At 49.1% G+C, this 20,562-nt stretch overlaps 1 long non-coding RNA gene across 1 annotated transcript; it reads left to right on the top strand.

Moving 5' to 3' along the window:
• The first annotated feature begins 12,155 nt into the window (after positions 1–12,155).
• LOC124902719 (uncharacterized) lies at positions 12,156–17,051 on the top strand. Its single transcript, XR_007062788.1, has 2 exons — positions 12,156–13,400; positions 13,700–17,051. It is a non-coding gene; the product is annotated as an uncharacterized LOC124902719 (long non-coding RNA).
• The last annotated feature ends 3,511 nt before the right edge of the window (positions 17,052–20,562 follow it).

Raw genomic sequence — 20,562 nt, 5'->3', positions numbered from 1 at the left:
TCATTGTCCTCTCCTGATTAGAATCCCAGCTTTCAGAACTAGGAGTCCTTCTGTGATCATCCAGCTCACACTCCTTATCAGTCTTTGGGATGGCACCATGGGCCCTTTGGTATCCAGTGTCTTCCTCACTGTTGGGCTTAAAAGGGCTGCAGGGATTCAACTCCACAACCCCTGGGACCCATAGAGAGGAGTCGGGCCCCTCCCATTTCCCACCCTCCCATTCCCTCCCCTCTCTAAAGGCTCCTGGCCTAGATGGGAGAGAGACCTGCAATCAGCATCGGGTGAGGGCCAAGCTTGGTCAGGATTCAGGTTCCAGCCCTGCCACTTACCAGCTCTGGGTAACTTTAGGCAAGTTACCTAACCTCTCTGAGACTCAGTGTCTGCAACTGTAGAAGAGGCTATTGTGAGGAATAAACAAGGTAATTTAGGTAAAGCATTAGTCTGGCTCACAGGAAGCTCCTTTGTGTGGTTGCTAAATGTCTTCCGTCAGGGACTGGGGTAGAGACTGGAAAGCCCAGCAGGCTTGGGAGGGGAGGGTGCCCGGGAATGACCTCTGGACTCCCTGGCTTGTCTAGCTTATATTCCTCCTGCTTCCTCCCCTCCCATAGGGACATTCTTTTGAAGGAATGGCGCCCCCCTCCCCTTGCCCTAGACTAACGATTTCCATCCTCTCCTCCATGTGGAATTGTTTAGCGAGTCTCAAGTTCAGCATCTGAGAACTGGAGATGAAAATACCCAACTGCCCGGGAACTCAGGGAAGCTAACTCCCACTGCACTGTGTGTGCAGGTTCTAGCCAGCTGGGCTGGAGGCTCCAGGCCTCACATTTAACATAAAAGTAATCAACAACCCTTCACACTGGCTGGTAGCTGGCAGCAGTTTCTGAGCACTTTCACATTCATCATTTCCCTTGACCTCCCCTTAGGGAGAGGTGGCCTTGAGGGGCTTCAGCTGGTGGATCTCCATGAACTTTACCCACCTCCCCTCATCACTGTGCCTCCAGTTGAGAGTCTCTGTGCCTCTAGACTCTCCTCTTCTGTCTGCTGTCCACATTCCAGCAAGAGTGCCCTTTCTAAACTGCAGATCTGCAGAATGGATCATGACACTTGCCTGCTTAAAACCTTTCAATGGCAAAAGCCAAACTGCTTGGTGTGGCATTCAAGGCCTATGTGATATGCCCCCACCTCACCTTAACTCTCCAGCATCAGTTCTGGCCACCCCCTCTTACACATCCCAAGTTTTAGTCCCCTAGTCACCTAGAAGTAAGGGAAGGGAGGTGGACCTTCTCCATTCTTCATGTCTGTTCAGTGTCTTCGCCCCCAGGGAGTCCTCTCTCTGGCGAAGTTGGCCTCTCCATCTGTGATATTGCCATGTCCTTTGTATATAAGCACCATCATTTTCACCGTTCTCTTCCCCTTCTTGTGATCATCTTGGCCACTGTGACATGTCAGGGACTGTGCTGGATACTTTTAAGATCATGATTTAATCCAAACAACCACACTAGATGGATAGTGGTGCGGCCCAGAAAGGGCAAGAGATCTGTCTGGGGTTACATAGCATGTTCTCTGCGGAGCTGGCACAACATTTAGGGCTCCAGTGCTCTTTCTGTTGCCTTTTAATCTCCACAAAGAGCAGAGGTGGTGTAGCAGAAAGGCCTGGGAATCTAAGGATCCCAGGTGCAAACCATCACTCCTCTATCCCTGGCTAACTGTGGACTTTGGGTAAGTCATTTTCTCCCCTAAGCCTCAGTTTCCTTACCTGTAAAATAGGGATAAATAAGAAGCCCTATCTCCCAGGGATATCGGGGTGATCAAATGAATCAATACAGATGCAAATGTGTTATAAGCCATAGGGTGCTGTGTGCTTTTATTTATTTGCTTAGAGATGAGGTCTTACTCTGTCACCCAGGCTGGAGCGCAGTGGTGCAATCATAGCTCACTGCCACCTTGAGTTCCTGGGCTCAAGGGATCCTCCTGCCTCAGCCTCCTGAGTAGCTGGGACTACAGGCACACCACCATGTGCCTCGCTAATTTTTAAATTATTTGTAGAGACGAGGGTCTTATCATCTTGCCCAGGCTGATCTCGAACTCTTGGGCTCAAGCAGTCCTCCTGCCTTGGCCTCCCAAAGTGCTGGGATTACAGGTGTGAGCCACCATGTCTGGTCGTGGTGTGATTTTAATTGACTTACCTGAACAGCCATACTGAAGCTGCGGGTGATCTGTTGGAAGATCTCTTTTCTCGAAGAGCCCTTGAGTGGAGGTCAGAAGACACTATTCGTCCCTTCAGCCGCTTTGCTCATTTTCCATGTTTTGAGACAGGTCTTTCATTTTCTGTCCTTCATTATAGCGATCAAGCCCTGACCAGAAAACCCTTCAGATCCAATGTATCTCCATGAGCCTCCAGGATCTCTATTTTTCTTGCTGCATTTTCTTCTTTTCAGCTATCAGAAGCTGGCAGGTCTTAAGTTAATAAAGCATCAGGACCATGTGTGGAAATAGCAGAAAAGAAGAGCTGGAAGAAAAAGGATGTGTCTCCACCCCTGCCCCCCACCCTGACTCTGTAGATGTGGCATGTGGCAGGTTATGTTTTCTAAAAGTTCCTCTGGTTATTCTGATGTCAGTACGAGGACCGCGGGACATGACAGAATACCTTGGAATTGGAAGACCTTTCATGCATGTTCTCATTAAACCTCTGAGCAGGCTTCTTAGGTAGTTGATTATCCCCTCCATTTTACAGATGTGGAAACTGAGACTCAGAAGTGACTTACCCAGGATTGCACAGCTGGAACTGAAAACTGGCTCACGGACAGAACTCCAGCCATTCCTCTGGAGGGCGGAATTCTGTGCCTGGGCTTTGCTGGTGTCTCAGCAGTCAATGCATGACAAATGCTTCTCCCATCCTGCCAAATCAAATGCTTCCCTAAATATTTCTCTCCCACTCTTCCACCTCCATGCTTTTTCCCCTGCCTGGAATGCTTTTCTCAGTTCAATCTACCAGCTGCAGTTTTCACTGTCCTCCGAGCCCTGCCACCTCCTGCACAAAGACATTTCCATTTCCCGCAGTTTCTCTTCCTTTGAGCCTAGAAACACTTGGTCTGTGCCTCAGTACAGCTGTCTCTTCAGCCTTCCCTCCTGCCTCAACTTGATGCTCCAACATCCCCAGCTGTTGGGGTTTCCTGTGCTTCTGGCAGTTCCTTACCACCTCTGGGTCTTTGCTTCTCTTTGTGCCTACAGAAGTGCCCCTTGCCCTGCCCCGTCTCTTGCTTATTATTCAAAATTCAGCTTAGGTATCACTTCTTCCAGGAGGCCTCCCCTGACCTCCGCAACCCCTAATTGTACTATTAGGAACCCTTCCTCTGTGCTGCCATGGCATACCAAGGATACCTCTGTAATAAGCAAGATTGTTCATTCGTTCACCCATTCACTCATTATAGCAAGGTGCAGACTCTGGGGCCAAACCTCAGGTTTGAATCCTGGCTTCAAAGTGGGCAAGTTCTTAACCACCGCCCCCCACCCTGCCTTACTATCTGTAAAATGAGGAAAACAATAGTCCCTACCTCAAACGTTGTTGTGAGGATTAAATGAATTATCTGTATAGCACGTGTATAACACTGCCTGGAATGTAGTAACACACTAATAGTTTAGTAAGTATTTGATGAATGTTGGCTACTACTCTTACAACTTGTTAATTCACTTTACAACATAGGAAAAACGTTTGTAAAAATGGACAGAGAAGAGGATTCTGGGTAGATGGCAGAGTAGGAAGCATCAGGAATCCATCTTCCCACCTAGACAACAATTGCACTGGCAGAATCTGTCTGATGTAACTGTTTTGTAACACTGGAGTCTATTGAAGGCATGAAACTTCCAGGGGAAGTCTTGGACAGTAAATTGTGCTTAATTTCAGTCAATTTTAGCTGTTAACATGAAAGCAGCTACTCTGACCACAGCCCCCTGTCAGGCGGCTGTATGGGTGTTCCTGCAGCAACCTGCACACAGCTTGTGAGAGCCAGGGTGGACAAAAAGGACCCTATAGTGAATACAGAGTATCTGAGCTCTGATCACTGATTATTGCTTCTAATCAAAGAAATACAGACACAAAAGCAGGTGGCCATTGTTGTTGCACCTCTCCTGTTGTTGCAAGACTCTCCCCCTCCAGCTGAAGTGACTTCCAAAGGATTTAAAGGGCTAGTGCCCTTCCTTCTCCTTTATTTTTCTCTTTTTCCCATTTAAGAGCCAGACATTAAAAACTAGAACATTTAAAAGCAACTGTATATACAGGAAAAGTTAGAAAGTGACCATGTGTGTTCAGGGAAAGGTTCACACTCAGAAAAGACTCCAGAAGACCTTAAGTTTACATTGCAAGCTAATGTTTGGCACAGAGACAGTCCACAAGATCAACAGAAAAACAGCAACAGTTTATACCTCAGGCTGATCCTGGGCACAGAGACAGCCTACAACATCTACAGAAAAACAATAACAGAAACCAGCAAACCCTAGGGAAAGAAGAGAATTGGATTTCCAGAGCTACCACATCATTAGTTAAATGTTCAGTTTTCAACACAAAGCATACAAAGAAACAGGAAATTATGGCCCATTAAAAGGAAAACAAACAGAAACTGTCCCTGAAAAAGACCTGATGGCAGAGCTACCAGACAAAGACTTTAAAACAACTCTTTTAAAGATACTGAAAGAACTAAAGGAAGATGTAGATAAAGTCAAGAAAATGATGTGTGAACAAAATAGAGGATCAAAAAAGAGAAAACCTAAAAATAAGCCAAAAAGAAATTCTGGAGCCATAAAGTACAATAACTGAAATGAAGAATTTACCAGAGGGATTCAGACAGATTTGAGGGGGCAAAAGAAGGAATCCACAAATTTGAAGATAGGACAATAAAAATGGTCGAGTTTAAGGAACATAAAGAAAAAAGATTGAAGAAACATGAACAGCACCTAAGCGACCTATGGGATACCATCAAATGGACCAACATATGCTTTGTGAGAGTCTTAGAAGAAGAGAAAGAAAGGAGCGGAGAGAATATTTGAAGAAATAATGGCTGAAAACATCTGAAATTAGATGAAATACGTAAACATCCAAGAAGCTCAGCCAACTCCAAGTCAGATAAACTCAGACCCACACTGAGACTCATTATAATCAAACTGTCAAAAGCCAAAGACACAGAATCTCGAAAGCAGCAAGAGAGAAGTGACTTATCGTATACAAGGGATCCTCAATAAGACTGTCAGCAGATTTCTCATCAGAAACTTTGGAGGCCAGAAGGCAGTGGGATGATAAAGTGTTAAAAGAAAAAGAAAAAAACTGTCAATCAAGAATCCTATATTTGGCAAAACCATCCTTTAAAAGTGAGGAAGAAATTAAGACATTCCCAGATAAACAAAAGCTGAAAGAGTTTACCATTAGACCTGCTCTACAATAAATACTCAAGGGAGTCCTGCAGGTGAAATAAAAGGACACTAGACAGGGACACAAAGACATTTGAAGAAATGAAGGTCTCAAAAAAGATAAATATGTAGGCAATTACAAAAATGGTTTGTAACTCCACTTTTTGTTTTCTACATAACTTAAGAGGCTAATTATTTAAAAGAATTATTAGTTTGTGGTTTGGGGCACACAATGAATAAAGATATAATTCTGTGACAACAACAACAAAAAGGCCTGGGGATGGAATATGTTAAAGAAACAGAATTTGTGGGCTGGGCATGGTGGCTCATGCCTCTAATCCCAGCATTTTGGGAGGCCGAGATGGGAGGATCACTTGAGGCCAGGATTTAAACACCAGCCTGGTCAACATAGTGAGATCCTGTCTCTAAAAAATAAAATAAAATAAACAGAGTTTGTGTATGTTATTGAAGTTCAATTGGTACAGATTTAAATTATAGTGTTATAACTTTCGGATGTTAAATATAATCCCCATGTTAACAACAAGAAAAAAGCTATAGAATATATACAGAAGGAAATGAGAAAAGAATTGAAATGTCTTATTACAAAAAAAAAAAGCTAAACATAAGAGGACGGTGTTGTAGGAAATGTACAAAACCTCTGTTGACCGGGCACAGTGGCTCATGCCTGTAATCCCAGCACTTTGGGAGGCCGAGCAGGTGGTGCTCGGTGACCTAAGGTGACCTTAGGTGAACCTAAGGTCAGGAGTTCAAGACCAGCCTGGCCAACATGGTGAAACTCTCTCTCTACTAAAAATACAGAAATTAGCCAGGCATGGTGGCAGGCACCTGTAATCCCAGCTACTAGGGAGGCTGAGGCGGGAGAATCACTTAAACCCAAGAGGTGGAGGATACAGTGAGCTATGATCGCGCCATTGCACTCTAGCCTGGACAATAGGAGCAAAACTCCATCTCAAAAAAACAAACAAAAAAAAAACCAGAAACAAAAAACAAACAAAAATCCTTTATAAGGAATATAGAAGACAAATTGCAAATAATAGAAGCAAATCCCTCTTATCAGTAATTACTTTAATTGTAAATGAACTAAACTTTCCAGTCAAGACAGAGATTGGCAGAATGGATAAAAATGCATGATTCAACTATCTGTTCTCTACAACAGACTCACTTTAGATACTTGTAAAAACATAAATAGATTGAAAGTGAAAGGATGGAAAACTATATTTCAACTAAATAGTAACCAAAAGAGAGCAGAGGTGGCTATATTAATCAGACAAAATAGTCTTTACACAAAGTTTATAAGAGACAAAGAAGGACTTTATATAAGAGGTTCAGCTGAGTGCAGTGGCTGATGCCTGTAATCCCAACACTTTGGGAGGCCAAGGCAGATGGATTGCTTTGAGCTCAGGAATTTGAGACCAGCCTGGGCAACATGGCAAAATCCTGTCTCTACAAAAAATGCAAAAATTAGCTGGGCATGGTGGCTCACGCCTGTAGTCCCAGCTACTCCAGAGGCTGAGGCCGGAAGATCGCTCAAGCCCAGGAAATGGAGGTTGCAGTGAACCGAGATCACACCACCGCACTCCAGCCTGGGTGACAGAGTGAGACCCTCTCTCAGGAAAAAAACAAAAGTTTCAATATCGCAAGAAGACATTATCAGCATTTATGCACCTAGTAACAGACCATCAAAATGTAAGCAAAAAACTGACAGAATTGAAGGGGAAAATGAACAGTTCTATAATAATAGTTGGAGATTTCAATACCCCACTCTCAATAATGGATAGAACAACCAGACAGAAGATAAGTAAGGAATAAACCAACCAGATCTAATAGACGTACACTTAATGAGTAAAGTGTTTCAGTTTTACAATATGAAAAGAATTTTGGAGCTGGACAGTGTTGGTGGTAGCATAACATTATGAATGTATTTAATACCACTGAACTATACACTTAAAATAGTTAAGACAGCAAATTTTACGTTACATGTTACCACAGAAAAAAAAACTAAACAACAACAAAAGAAACTGGACAGGGAAACTGAGGCAGGAGCCAGTTTGTAGGGCCCAGGAGAGCACAGTGTGAGATGTGGGAGGCTTGGAAGGCACAAAGAGGAAAAAAATGGAAGGTGGCTTTGGCCCTTGGTTGGGGGAGGGGACACAATAGAGAAGGAGGCTCCCTCATTTGGAGCCATGTGTGGATCTCTGGTCCGCTCTGTGGGCAGGAGACTGTGGCCTGTAAAGAGGCAGTAGGCTGTTAGGTTAAATCTGCCAAGCCCTCCTTCCAAATTTCCCAGTTTGGTGGTGGTGGGAGGAGGCCAGGAACAAATTGTCTCCTGAGCAGCTGCCAGAGCTGGTCTCCTTCCAGAAGGCCAGGTTTGCACTAGAGGCACTGCCCTTACCCAGCTTTGCTTCCAGGTTTCCTCTGACCCTGAAACCTCTTCCCCTATCCCTACATCCGGGAGCTAAGCTGACTTGCAAGTTCTGACAGGATGTGATGCTCCAGGCACCATGAAATCAGCATGGGAGCTGGAAGGCCTTGGGGATCAGATATCAGGCATTTAACCTCAACACCTTTCTCATTTTACAGGTGGGAGACTGAGGTGCAGAGAGAGAGAGTGACTTGTCCAAGGTCACAGAGCTAATGAGCAGGAAAGCTTCTAGACTCCCAGTCAAGAGCTCTGTTTACTTCTCTACATGGCACACATCACTGTGTATTCCCTCTCGCCTGTCCTATCCTTCCATCCATGTGTCCTCCTGTCTTTACTCTCTATCTGTCCATCCATCCATCCAACAAATGTTTACCTGCTGAACCTCTGACACATATTGAATCTTGCACTGGGCTCCAGGAGCCTACAGTTGGGGTGGGCACACTGACACAGACATACCTTAGTCCTGAAGAGTTTTGGATGCCCACTAGAAATCTGTGCAGAGCATTTGGAGCAGAGAAAGACCCAGTGCCGGCCACAGCCATCAGGCAAAGTGTCCTGAGGGAGGGCCTGGCTGAGAAAGTCCTTCTGGGCACAGAGGGCTGGGAGTGTGGGCTTAGTGAAGAAGTTAAGGGCCTTCTAGGCAGAAGGAGAAGCATGATCAAAGACCAGACTAGAGGGTGTGGAGCTATAAGTGGTTCAGCGTGGCTGGGTACAGGGGATAAGGAGCCCAGGGAGGGATAGGTCTGAAAGAAGGGGAGCAATTCTCGGGACGTGGAGTCTTGTGGGTAGGCTGAGGTGACAGGCCTTGGTGCCACATGCATTGGAGCCACAGATGGTCTCTCCATTGTCAGGTGCTCATCTGAGGGAGTCCCGGTGGAGGGGACCCAGGGAGGGAGGGCAAGCATTGGGGGCCCTTGTGTCCTTCTGTTAGCCTGTTGGTCTCCTCCAAGAGGCCTGGCAATTCTCTCTTGCCTTCCCCTCTGTCCCCACACAGGCCTGTGGACACATCCCCTCCCTGCTCTGTCTGTCCTCTGTTGGTCTCTCTCCCTCCCTTTGGCCTGTTGGCCCTTGCCAATCATGCAGACCCTGCCGTTTCTCCCTTGCTCATCATCTCCCTGTGTCTTAGCACCACGGCAGGCACAGAGCCCCCGACTGGAGGTCAGGGCAGGACACATGATTCCAGTCCTATTTTTGCCACCAACTGACCCGAGCAAGAATATCTTATTAATAACAACGTATTTGCAGGATGATTTCAGCTGACAAAGTCCTCTGACCCCCTGTAGGGGAAGATGTCACCGTGACCCAGAAGCCTCTTGACTAGGTCGAGCGTTCTGAGGGCAAGTAAACTCCGGGGAACTTTGTTATCATGCTTGGGTTGTTGCGTGATTACGTTATTGTGTGCAAAGGGCTCTGTGCTCAATTTATTACCTTCTGTCCCAAGACAAACAGAACTTCAGAATGTTACCCCACAGAAGGTTACTTCAGAGCACATTAGAATCAGTCCTGGCCCTAAGCAAACAAGTTCCATTAAGAGATTTTCAGATTTTTTTAAAAAGTTAGTCCATAGTAAGATACACATGTTATCACACAACTGGGGATATATATACAAGCTTGGCAGATAGTACTTACCCTTGCTGTGTGTAATATGGACTGGTATTTTCCTTTCTACTCCATTCTATTCCATTAGGAATAGCAATGGTGGTCATGTCTCTGTAAATAGATTTCACATCCCACTAACAGTTTACAATGGGAAGTTTTCTGGGACCACTCCCTCCTCCCCCACATTCAGTTGTTTCCTGATGCAGAAAAACTGCAAATCTGTATCTCCAGCTGTGACCTCTCACAGGGTTTAAATCTTGGCTTTGCCACTTCCTGGCGAGTCCCTTAAAGACTATTTCCTTTTCTGTAAAATGAAGAAAATTGTTACCTTGCAAGGTAGTGGAAAGGATTTAATGAAATCATTTATGTGAAGTGGTTCATGTGATTCTGGGTGCATAGTAGTTGCTTAGTAAGTGTTTATTTATAACGATCTCTTATAACAAGAATTATGGAGACAGGTGTTCAGTAAACCTTGGTGAATAGCAGGGGTGAATCAGTTCACATAGCTGCCCTCAGGGCTGAGACTGGAGGGTGATGGGGAAGGGGTTAACGTTTACAAAGCTCCTGCTATGGGCCAGGAACTGTGCAAAATGTCACAACCGCCACCTTGGTGAGTGCTTACAACAAGGTGGGTACAATTACTAGTCTGATTTTATAGATGGGGAAACTGAGGTTCAGAGAGGGAGAATGCTTTGACTAAGGTTGTATGGCTTGTGAGTGGCAAGACAGAGTTGCACCTCAGGCTCTTGGGCCTGAGAGTCCCTGAGCACCGTCCACACTCTCACCTGTCTGTCCCCTGCCTCTGCTGGGACGTCCTCTGTGCCATACTGTGTTGTGCCATGCTGTACCCTTCGAGTGAGCCCTGGTTCCACGAAGAATGCTGACCAAAAGGGCTTTGTGACCCAGCCCCTTCCAGCCTCCACCTCTCCACGTCCTTGTGGACCACAAGGTGAGGTCCCATCTGCCCATCCAGCCTCACTGCCCACCACACATCTGCCCCCTCCCAGGCACAGCCAATGGTCACCCCTACTAGGTGACAGGCCCCAAACATGGCAGTGCTTTCCATCCTGTAAGCTGTAGCTTTGGCTGTCTCCACCACTCAGAATGCCCCTCCCCTTCCCCCAAAAGGCTGAAATCCTAGATGTCTCCAGTGACAGACCTGGGAGCTGGGTCTATCCTCAAAACCAGGCCATGAAGGGAGTAAGTGGGGTGGTCTAGTTTGGACAGACAGAAAGCAGAGGGTGGAAGGGGCAGGAGGAGGGAGGTGAGAGCAGGAGAGAGAAGAGGGGGTAAAAGGGCAGGGCCAGGCTGTGCACAGTTGTGTAAGTGTGTGTGCCTAAGGCTACCACATGACCAGAGCCAGGTGTCCTGCCAGGGGTGAAGAAAGTTTACCAGCTTTGTGCTCTCAGAGCAGACATTCCAGAAAGATTTTGCAAAGGAGGGATGCTTAAGCCCCTGGTGAGCAGCCAGGGTCAGTGAACCATTCATGGCTGAGCTGAGATCCTCCCTCCCACCCTAGCCAGCTCTAAGTCCTCGTTTTGGAGCTGCAGGACAGGCCCTGTAGCAGAAAGGAAAAAGGAGACTTTGTCGGCATGATTTCATTTTCATTTCTGGTGTCATTACAGGGATGAAACATTCTTAGAGAATTTACCAGTGTTTATGCTGTGGTCACGTCTGACGCTCAAAGTGACCCTGGGAGGTGAGACTCCTACCCCCGTTTTACAGACTGAAGCTCAGAGAGGGAAATTGGTTGTTCGAGGCCACACACTGAGAGAGAGGCAGAGCTGTGACACACAGTTTTTGTGCTGTTGGCATGTGTGGGAGTGGCCCCAGTAAATAAAACTTAAGTTAACAACTTAGCTGAAGCTCACAATGGGCAAGATAGGGTTCTTATCTTAACTCCTTTAATCCTCACAATTCTATGTGGAAGACACTACTGTTATCCCCATTTTACAGAGAGGGAAACTGAGGCATGGAGAGATTCAGCAAATTTCTCAGTTCACAGAGCTAGTAAGTGGTGGAGCTGACACTCGAATCCAGGCCCTCTAGTTTCACAGCCTGTGCTCTGAATTGCTTCACTTACATAGAGGCTCAGGGAGAAGGTAATTTAGTGAAGATGAGGTCAGCAGGATGGGCTCTAATCCAGTATGACCATTGTCCTGATAAGGAGAAGAAATCTGGACGCAGGCACACATAGAGGGAGAATGCCCTGTGAGCATGGAGATGGTCATCTATAGCCAAGGACAGAGGCCTCCAGAAGCCAGCCCTGCTGACACCTCCATCTCCGACTTCCAGCCTCTGGAACTGCGAGGAAACGTGTCTGGTGTTTAAGCCACTCAATCTCTGGTACTTTGTTATGGCAGCCCTAGCAAACTAATACACTCATGCAACATGGAGCCAGTGACTTAACTCTCTGTGTGTCACATAGTAGACTCAATAACACCCTACGAAGCATGGGCACATAGTAGGCCCTCAGCAAATGCTGGCTTTGCCTTCTCTCCAGGCCTGGGAACAGCAGCTGGCTGTCTCAGGGGAGGCGAGTGGCAATATTACTGAGTCATCCTGCCTCAGCATGGACCCAGGGCACCTGACCCTCGATCGGGCCCTCCTCTTTCCCCAGACGGGCAATCCTGCCCTCAGCTCCACCCCCATCCTTGGAGGTGAGCAGAGTTCACAGCTTTCTGTGTGCCAGGCTGTGAGGTGAGCAGAGTCCATAGCTGCTTTGCCTCTGCTCGTGCTGAGTAGCACACCTGCCGTGAGTGACTGACCAACTTGGCCAGGCACAGAGGGCAGGAGGGGAGGGGCCTCGGGGTGCAGGGGGTGACAGGTGAGTTGGGGCATTTTCCACAGTGCATGCATGCTGCATTTTATCTGATGCTCACAGCTACCCTCAGAGAGAACCTGAGGCCCAGAGGAGTTGAGGGACTCCCATTCAGTTCACCTGTGCTGGGCTTAGGTCCTTGGTGTCCAGGCTGCAGCCATGGCTGGACCACTTGCTTGCCCTCCAAGGCTTTGGGAGGCTATAGGGGGTGGCGGGAGGCCTGTGGGCCCAGCAGTCACCTGACCTGGGCTCAAATCTCAGCCGGGCCAGGGACCAACAGTGTGACCTTGGGTCCTCCTTCGATGGGAGGTTAATCATGCCCACCTCGCCAGGCTGTTGGGAGGCTCAGTGAGAGGCGGCGGAGGCCATCTCCACCCCTGGAACTCTCAAGGGAGTTCTTGTGACTTTCACAAGTAACTGCTAAGTTGCTGTTGCTGAATCAAATTCCTGGAGAGCCAGGAAGTATGTCTGTGGGTGGGAGAGACGTCTGGCACTTCCAGGGGGGCCCCAAGGCTTCCTTCCCACATGCCTGCCTCCCCCAGCGCCTGGCAGCCCTTGAGAGGGAAGGTAACAGAGGGGCCCAGAGGGTCTGGAACTTACCATGCCCCTGCTTCCTGCCCACTGTACCTGTCTGCACCCCTGGTTTCCCTGTCTGCAGTTCTGAGTTCAGTAAACGTGGTTTTACTTTCTTTATAGCACCTGTCGCCACCCAAACTTCTCTGGATTATTGATTGTATTGTCACTATTGTCTGCTTCCTCATCCCCTCCTAGAGTGGCAGTCATGGAGCAGGGACTTTGTTCACTGCTTTGTGTTGTTGACTGCTGTAGCTCCTGCACCTAGAGCAGTGCCTGGCACACAGCAGGAGTTCAGTCAGTATTTGCGGCAGGAAGGAAGGAAGGGACAGAGGGAGGGAGAGAGGGTGGAAATTGTGGGTCCTCTGTGGTCAGCCCTTTGCTGCAATTGGGGATGTTGCCTTAGGTTAGAGCCCAACCCTGCTGACAGAGGCTTCCCCTCCAGTGCCAGAGGCAGACACAGACACAGACAGTGACTGTGGGTGTGACCAGCACTGCGACAGAGGGAAGGAGGCACTCTGGCTGGGGAAGCCAGGGCAGATGGCATCTGATCTGCTTCAAGGAGTAGGCCGGGCTGGCTGGGGGCAGGGGGGTTGGGTGGGGGGCTGGGAAGCCTCAGAGAAGCATCAGCTGAGAAGACAAGGCAAGGAAGAGTCAGGGGGACAAGGGAGGGGCAGCATTCCAGGCAGAGAGAGCCGAGTGTGCAAAGGCAGGAAGGCAGGAAGGCTGTGTGGAGTTAGAGGCACCTGCTGCTGTCACTGAGTGCAGTGACTGGGAAGGTAGAGGTTGGTGGTGGGAGGGTCCCCTGAGAGAACGGTAGGGATCTCACGGAACGCAGCAAATCCAGGCTGTTTCTCTCCCAGTGCTCAAAGGCTCCTGACTGTGGAGAGCTAAAGCTGCCAGGAGCTGCCTGTGCTTGCCAAGTGGTTGCAGATGTTTCCTCCCTACTGCTCTGACTTTGCCAGGTGAGCACATTCTCCTGTCTGAGCTGGTATCTCTGTCTCTCTCTGTTTCTGTCCCTCTCCTGAGAGAGTCTAGCCTTGGGGTCCAGGCCTGGCCTGGCCAGGGTGGCCGTGGGATCTTGGAGCAGCCACCACTCCCCTTTCTGAGCCCAGGTTCCTCCTCAGATGCACAGTGGGTGGGTCGTTAGCGCCTGGAAGGCCTCTCCTCCAGGACCTGGTGTTTTCACAGACGAAACAGACTTCAGAGCTAATGCGTGCTTTGGTATCTTCCAGCCAGGAGACACTGCTCAATGGCCCCAGGAGGGGCCCAGGAAGGATTCATTCCAGCCTTGCTGGGGGTGGGATCAGGTTTCTGGTCCTACTCTAGCCAGGTGGCCATGGGGGAACCCTGAAGCCAGACACATAGATTCTGGTCTCTCACACACTCTCTTGGTGACCTCAGCAAGTTTCTACCTCTCCCCAGACCTCAGTCTTCCCTTTTATAAAATGGTTATAATAGCACCAGTCCCCTCTCTGCAGAGACAGGAGCCCTGCTCCTCGTCCCGGATCTGGCATTGGCTCACCTTAGGCAAGTCTGTTCCCTTTTTGGGCCTGTCTCCCCATGTATATGTTGAGGGGTTGGACTTCAGGGCCTGTGAGAGGCCTTCCAACTTAGACTTTCTCCCCAGGAGCATAAATTCAGTGAATCTACGTGACTCTCAGTGATGGCATCATTGCCTAATATCCACCCAGCTTCTGCTTGAAAACTTCCAGAGAACTCCCCACATCTCCACGGCTTCCTTCTACCTTCAGGTAGCAGGAAGTTCTCCCTCACACTGTACCTTTCTTCCTACATCACCCAACCGCTGGGGTCAGTTCTGCCGCCACAGAACTCCAAACAATTCAATAGACCTTAGGTACTGGGCACCCTGGCCAGGCCTCATGCCAGACTCCAGGATCATGGAGGAACCAGTGTTGTCCAGCAAGGACTGGACAGGCATAAAGTCCTGTAGCTCTGTCTGACTCCAGACTCAATAATAATCCCAGCTGCCACCGATAGCCCCTTCTGGGTGCCCAGCCCTGCTGCCTCATCAAATACCAGCAATATCTACCTCACTGAATCCCCACAACAACCCTGCCAGATAGTAACTCTCATCCCCATGTTATAGCTGAGAAAACTGAGGCCCACAGCAATTAGATATCTTCCCAAAGGTCACACAGTTGGTATGCGTGGAGCCTGATTAAAACCAATGTGGCTACTAGCCTCTCACTGGGCTCTGCTGCCTCTTGTTTGTCTCTCTGTTCCTGGCGTGCCCAGGTTTGGGGGCAGCCTCCTTCCACAGCCTCCTCAGAGCCAGCCCCTGGCTGCTTGTGCATTTCCTAAGGCGAGGAAGCCCGGGCAGGAGGGTCCCAGGGAGGATGGAGAGGAGACGGTGGGCCTGAACCCAGGGCTCATGACCTGTGCCCTCTGGAGGGATTCCAGGTATCACCAGCAGCCTGGGGAGGTACACCCTTGTGTGGGGAGGAGGAACTCTTCCCAGCACCCTCAAATTATCCCTTAAAATTAGCCTTGGCTGCAGTTAGGCTGGCAGTGGGCGAGGCCCTGGTCTGGGAGCCCAGAGTCTAAGCTGTAGTTTCAGTTGACCCCCTGATGGTCAGTGTGACCTTGACCTTGGATGGGGCCCTTCCCTTTTGGGACTTCAGATTCCCTATTTGCAGACGTGAAGAGGGGACAAGATCTCCCAGCAACATGCAGTGGCTGGAGCTGAATCAAACCCTGTGTTGGTCGGATCTAGAAGGGCGAATGTGGTCAGAATGTTCTCCCTCACCCCTCCCAGGTCTCTTGGCTGCCCTGGCTGGGCCCACCCCACATCTTCGCAGTGGCATGTCCTTTCATTTAGGAAAGGAGTTTCCTTAGACAGGCAGACAGTGATGGGGTGGGAGGCTTGGAAAGGGATGAGATCAGTGTGGCCCAGCTCCCTGCTGGAGTGGTGAACAGAGAGTGTCCTTGGGTCACACAGATCATTAACCAGCTGTGTGACCTTGAGCAGAGCTCTTAACCTGCTTGAACTTCGGTTTCTGTATCTGTAAAACAGTGATAATAATAGTACCTACTTTTGAAGGTTATTAATAGTGAGGATAAAATAAGGATTAAAGGGAAGTGTGTCTAAAACACTTGGCGCAGAGCCTGGTATGTAGTCAGCACTCAGAAAGTGTGGCCTTGATGACAACAATGATGATGGTGAAGATGGGAATGAGTGGGGAAAGGATGGCGACAACCGTTGCGTTGAACAGTATGAGACGCTGCTCAGCCTTCTCCGACATACTGGGTACTTCCATGCTTCCAGGCTTCACACTTGCCATTTCTTCTCCCTTGCCATCCCCCAAGACTTCTTCCAGCACAAATGCATCCTAAGTAATGGAGTAACCAGGCCCTGTGGATCTGAGCCTGGAGGAGCCCGGGGGCAGATTAGAACCCAATGGCTGTGCTCTGCATGAGGTGGGAGCACCAGACTTGGAGGAATTAATAGAAGGTTTCCCAGGGGAGGCAGAGCTTAGCTGGAGTCTTGATGAAGGAGTAGGAATTGGCTGGAAGAAGAGAATAGGATTTCTTTTTTTCCATTTAAAGCAGTCCAGGCAGATGAAATAACACGTGCAAAAGCATAGAGGTGTGAAATAGCATGTTGAGCTTGGGAAACTGCAAGAAGCACAATATGGTGCGAGTGGGGAGAGGGAGAGAGGAAGACGGAATGGGGAGGATGTTTGGGGTGGATCACGAAGAGCCTGTGTGCTACACCAGATACTCAAAATGTGCCTTGAAGGTGATGGGGAGTTATTCTTTTCATCATGCGACAAACATTCCTGAGGACCTACTTGACCCAAGACATCTTTGTAGCGGGCACTGCGATGTGCTGCCAATGCCTGTGCCTCCTACCCCCACACCTCCGCTGCTGAGAGTGCTGATGGCAGGCAGCTTGCAGGTGAGACTCCTCCCACCACCGTCATTGCCTCCTCACCTAATGCCATGGTCCCTCCAGGGCCAGCCTGCATCCAGAGACTGGTTCACATGGGGGTATAAAAGCCCAGGCCCCTTGCCCCAACTTGGGACAACTATGAAGAGTTTCCAGCTCCACAGCTCCCTGAGGGGCTGGCCGAGGCCTTTGTGGGGTTTGCCTCACAACCCAATTTATCCCTCTGGCCAATTCTGCTTCAATCACTCCCTGCCAGGTGTTGACCTTGAATGTACTCCCCCAATAAACCTCCTGCAAGCAAACCTTCATCTCAGAGTCTCCTTCCCCAGGAACCAAACCTCCAATGATCATTACTGAGGGATGTCAATGGTGGCTGACGTTTCACTGAGGGCTCAATGAGAGACCCCGCTTTTGGAAGGTGATTCTGTCTACAGTGTGAGAATGATGTGGAAGGACACACTGGAGTCCAGAGGCCAGTGGGAAGGTAGTTGTGATTTAGCAGAGAAATGATGAAGGCACCAGGTGGGTGGGGGCAGGAAGGAGGGACAGAGCTAGGGGACATAGAGGAAACAGCACTGCCAGATAGAGACTGGGTAATGAAGGAGTCTGCCAGGCAGAGGTGGAGGCAGTCCCTGGGATGAGTTTAACTGGAGAAACTCAGTTCAATTTGGGAGTTGTGAGAGTGCCATTTGCATGAAGTATGAAGGTGGAAGGGCCGGGAGGTGGGTGAAGAGCCTCCAGGAGATAAATTGGAGCTGGAAGTGTGGATCTGGGGTTAGCCAGCACTTTGTAGTTTACAGAGCATTTATTGGCACCCATTTAGTTCAGTATGGGCAGCAACCAATCAGAAGGGTTGCCAGGATCTTGAGGACCTTCTGAGGGGCTAGATATTAACCCCTTGGTTGCTGAATCATGGTGGGAAGGTTGGGGGATGCTGGGTTGCATGGCAGAGGCACTCAAGGGGCTCTGAGTCATGGCTGTTTACCAAGCAGTAAGTTAGAATCTGCATGCCAGCTGAGTATCAGCCCTACAGGTTCCTCTTAGAATCCTCACAAGAACCTGTTGAGGCAGATACTATAATCCCTTTCCCAAAAGAGGAAACCAGGGCTCAGTGAAGTAAGTAACTTTCCAGAAACCAGGCAGCTCTTAAACAGCAGAACTGGAGTTGAACCCAGGTCCGTCTGAGCCTGCATCCCATGGCTTTAAATGTTGGAGTGGGAATCAAAATGCAGAATTCTTGGCTCATTTAACCAGGGGCCTTTCCTCTCACTCAATGGCCACTTCCTGTAGTGAATTCCAGAACGTCTGATCATGAGCCAGTTTCTCCTTCCAAGAAACAGGGTTGAGAATGACCAGCCTTGTGGGGTGTGGGTGGAGTCAGACAACCCTACTGGGGGTTTCCAGGCCTGGGGAATCCGCCAGCTCCCAGTTTGGAGCCCAGGCACGTATGGGAAGGTTCTGGGTAGCAGCGGCTTCTCCAGTGGATTCCACCTCCCATGTCAGAAGGAGATCTTGGGCCAGCTATGCCTGCCTCAGCCTGGGTCTGTCACCTCCAACCTTTAGGAAAATGGGCTTCCTTTGAAGCAGTAAGCATCTTGTTACCAAAGTATTCCTGTGGACCTGGCTATTCATTCATTTGTTCATCCATTCCTTTAACATTGAACAACTATTTAGAGAGTACCTCCCATGCCCTGTGCCACCTGAGTCCCACCTTACCTGGGTCCAGCCTTACCTGGGTCCTGTTTCACCTGGTTCCAGCCTCACCTGGGTCCGGGCTGGTGGAGAAGTTGGGTGCTTAACAGGTAATGCCATCAAAGTGAAACAGACTGGGGAACCTACAGGGGCTGTTCCGTCATCCCTGCATTACTCCTGTGCCAGCACAGCGATGCTGTCAGGGGCTATCTGATGAATGGATGAAGGAAGGAAGGGCTGAGATTGGACAAAAGAAAGGGCTCCATGACTGGCATGAGAGAGAACCCTGAAGGGGGCATCAGGGATGGGGCGGCATCTCCATCCCTGGAGAGCACCAGCCTCTGCCCTGCAGGGTGTGACAGCTACTCCACCTGGAGGCAGAGGGCTGGACTCAGAGATGCTGGGGCCTTCCTGGACCTGGAATCTTCTGCTCCATTATGGCTCCAGGTGGCATCTGGATGCCAAAAAGATACTCTGATTGTTTGGTCGGCTGTGACTCAGAACATGCAGAATAACTTCCTTGTGGAACCTTGTTCAGGGAGTCTAGGAGAGTGTTAGCAGGGGGTGGATGGGGAGGGAGAGGCCCATCTGCAGTGCTCTGGTCTCCTGCTCCAGAACCCACCGGAAGTCTTGGGCATGACCCGAAAGTGTGGCAGTGTCAGGTTTTTGAAAACACAACATGTTTTCCTTTTCTTTTAACTTTTAAACTTCTCTGAGAAGATTATTTTACAAGCCATTTTCTTACTCCTCTCCCATCTCTCGGTCACAGTTTCAGCTTCATGCCAACAGGGCTGTGGTAATTAGGAAAGAGGACAAGTTCCCTCTGGCCACCCATGGAAGAAGAAGTGACTGCATGAGGAGGGGATGGGGAGGGAGGAGGTGAAGCTTTCGTGAGCACCTTCTGCAGGGAGCCAGGCCTTATGCAGAGTGCTTTGCATATCATCTCCATTTTTTTGCATGAGGAGACTGAGAGATAAAGTAATATGCACATAGTTGGTAATGATTATGCTAATACGAATAAAATAGATAATTATTAGGTGGATCCATTATTCAAAAAACTGACAATTCCTCATGGTTTGACCTACTACATGTCATTCGGGCCTGCTACGTGCCTGCACAATGCAAGATGTTCTCTGTAATTCTCACAAGAACTGTGCAAGGAATGTGTTATTTTGATTTGAAAAGCTGAGGAAACTGAGGCTAAGACAGATCAGGTGACTATCCAGTTGCTCCTAGCAAGTCAGTAGTGGGACCGGTCCTTGAACTCAGGTCAGTTTCCAAAGCAGTGCAACAGCTGAAAATCTATGTGCTGAGTTTGCTAATTTGACCAGCTCTTCTTAAGGTTATATTTGTCTTTGGGGGATGGAAGCTGTCATCATGGAGATGCAGGGCCCTGCTTGGGGTCAAGGTGGGATTCAGGGACTTGGTCTTATTAATATAATTATCTTATGATGAAGAAACAAAGCCCCAGTCACATGGGGACAAGTCATAGCCTGGAACTTCCAGGGCTCCTGAGGTGCATGGGGAGGTAGGCAGAGCCATTTATCAAAAGATCTGGTTTCAATCCTGGTTCAGCTGTGAGCCCTGCCCACCCTGGGCCTCGCTTCCTCAGCTACACAGAGACCACTGTAACCTCCAGCTCTAAGGTTTGGTGAATCTGGGCAGAGTCACAGCTGGGAACTCCTGTCCTCTACCCCCTGCCCTGTGCCACCTGAGTCCCACCTTACCTGGGTCCAGAGCTTTAGCCAAGCCCCATGGGAATGCCTCTGTGCTTCTATTTTCCTTCAGAACCTTAAAGATGCTTCCTTATTTTCCTGCACTCAGTTACCACCCACTGCCCTTGGCCTGATTTAATGACTGCCCCAAAGCCTGTCTGAGCTTATGACCTCCCGGTGCTCAGACTTGCTGTGAGGTTAATGGTGCTGGTAGCACTGATCTGAGGGGTCCAGGCATAGTGGGGGCAGCTGAGAGCCCACATGGATATGTGAGGGGATGAGGGCCGCCTCTGCAATGTGCTTTCCCCTCCTGACACCTCAGCAAGCCTGAGACACAGGACTGCTCCGTTCTCAATTGGTGCCGCATCTCAGCCCAGATCCTCCAGCCTGGCAGGGAGAGGAGGAA

Source organism: Homo sapiens, chromosome 11 (assembly GCF_000001405.40).
Source record: "Homo sapiens chromosome 11, GRCh38.p14 Primary Assembly".
In the NCBI taxonomy this organism is placed as follows: domain Eukaryota; kingdom Metazoa; phylum Chordata; class Mammalia; order Primates; family Hominidae; genus Homo; species Homo sapiens.
The sequence above is the reverse complement of the archived record's forward strand: the minus strand, read 5'-3'. Positions and strand labels throughout refer to the sequence as shown.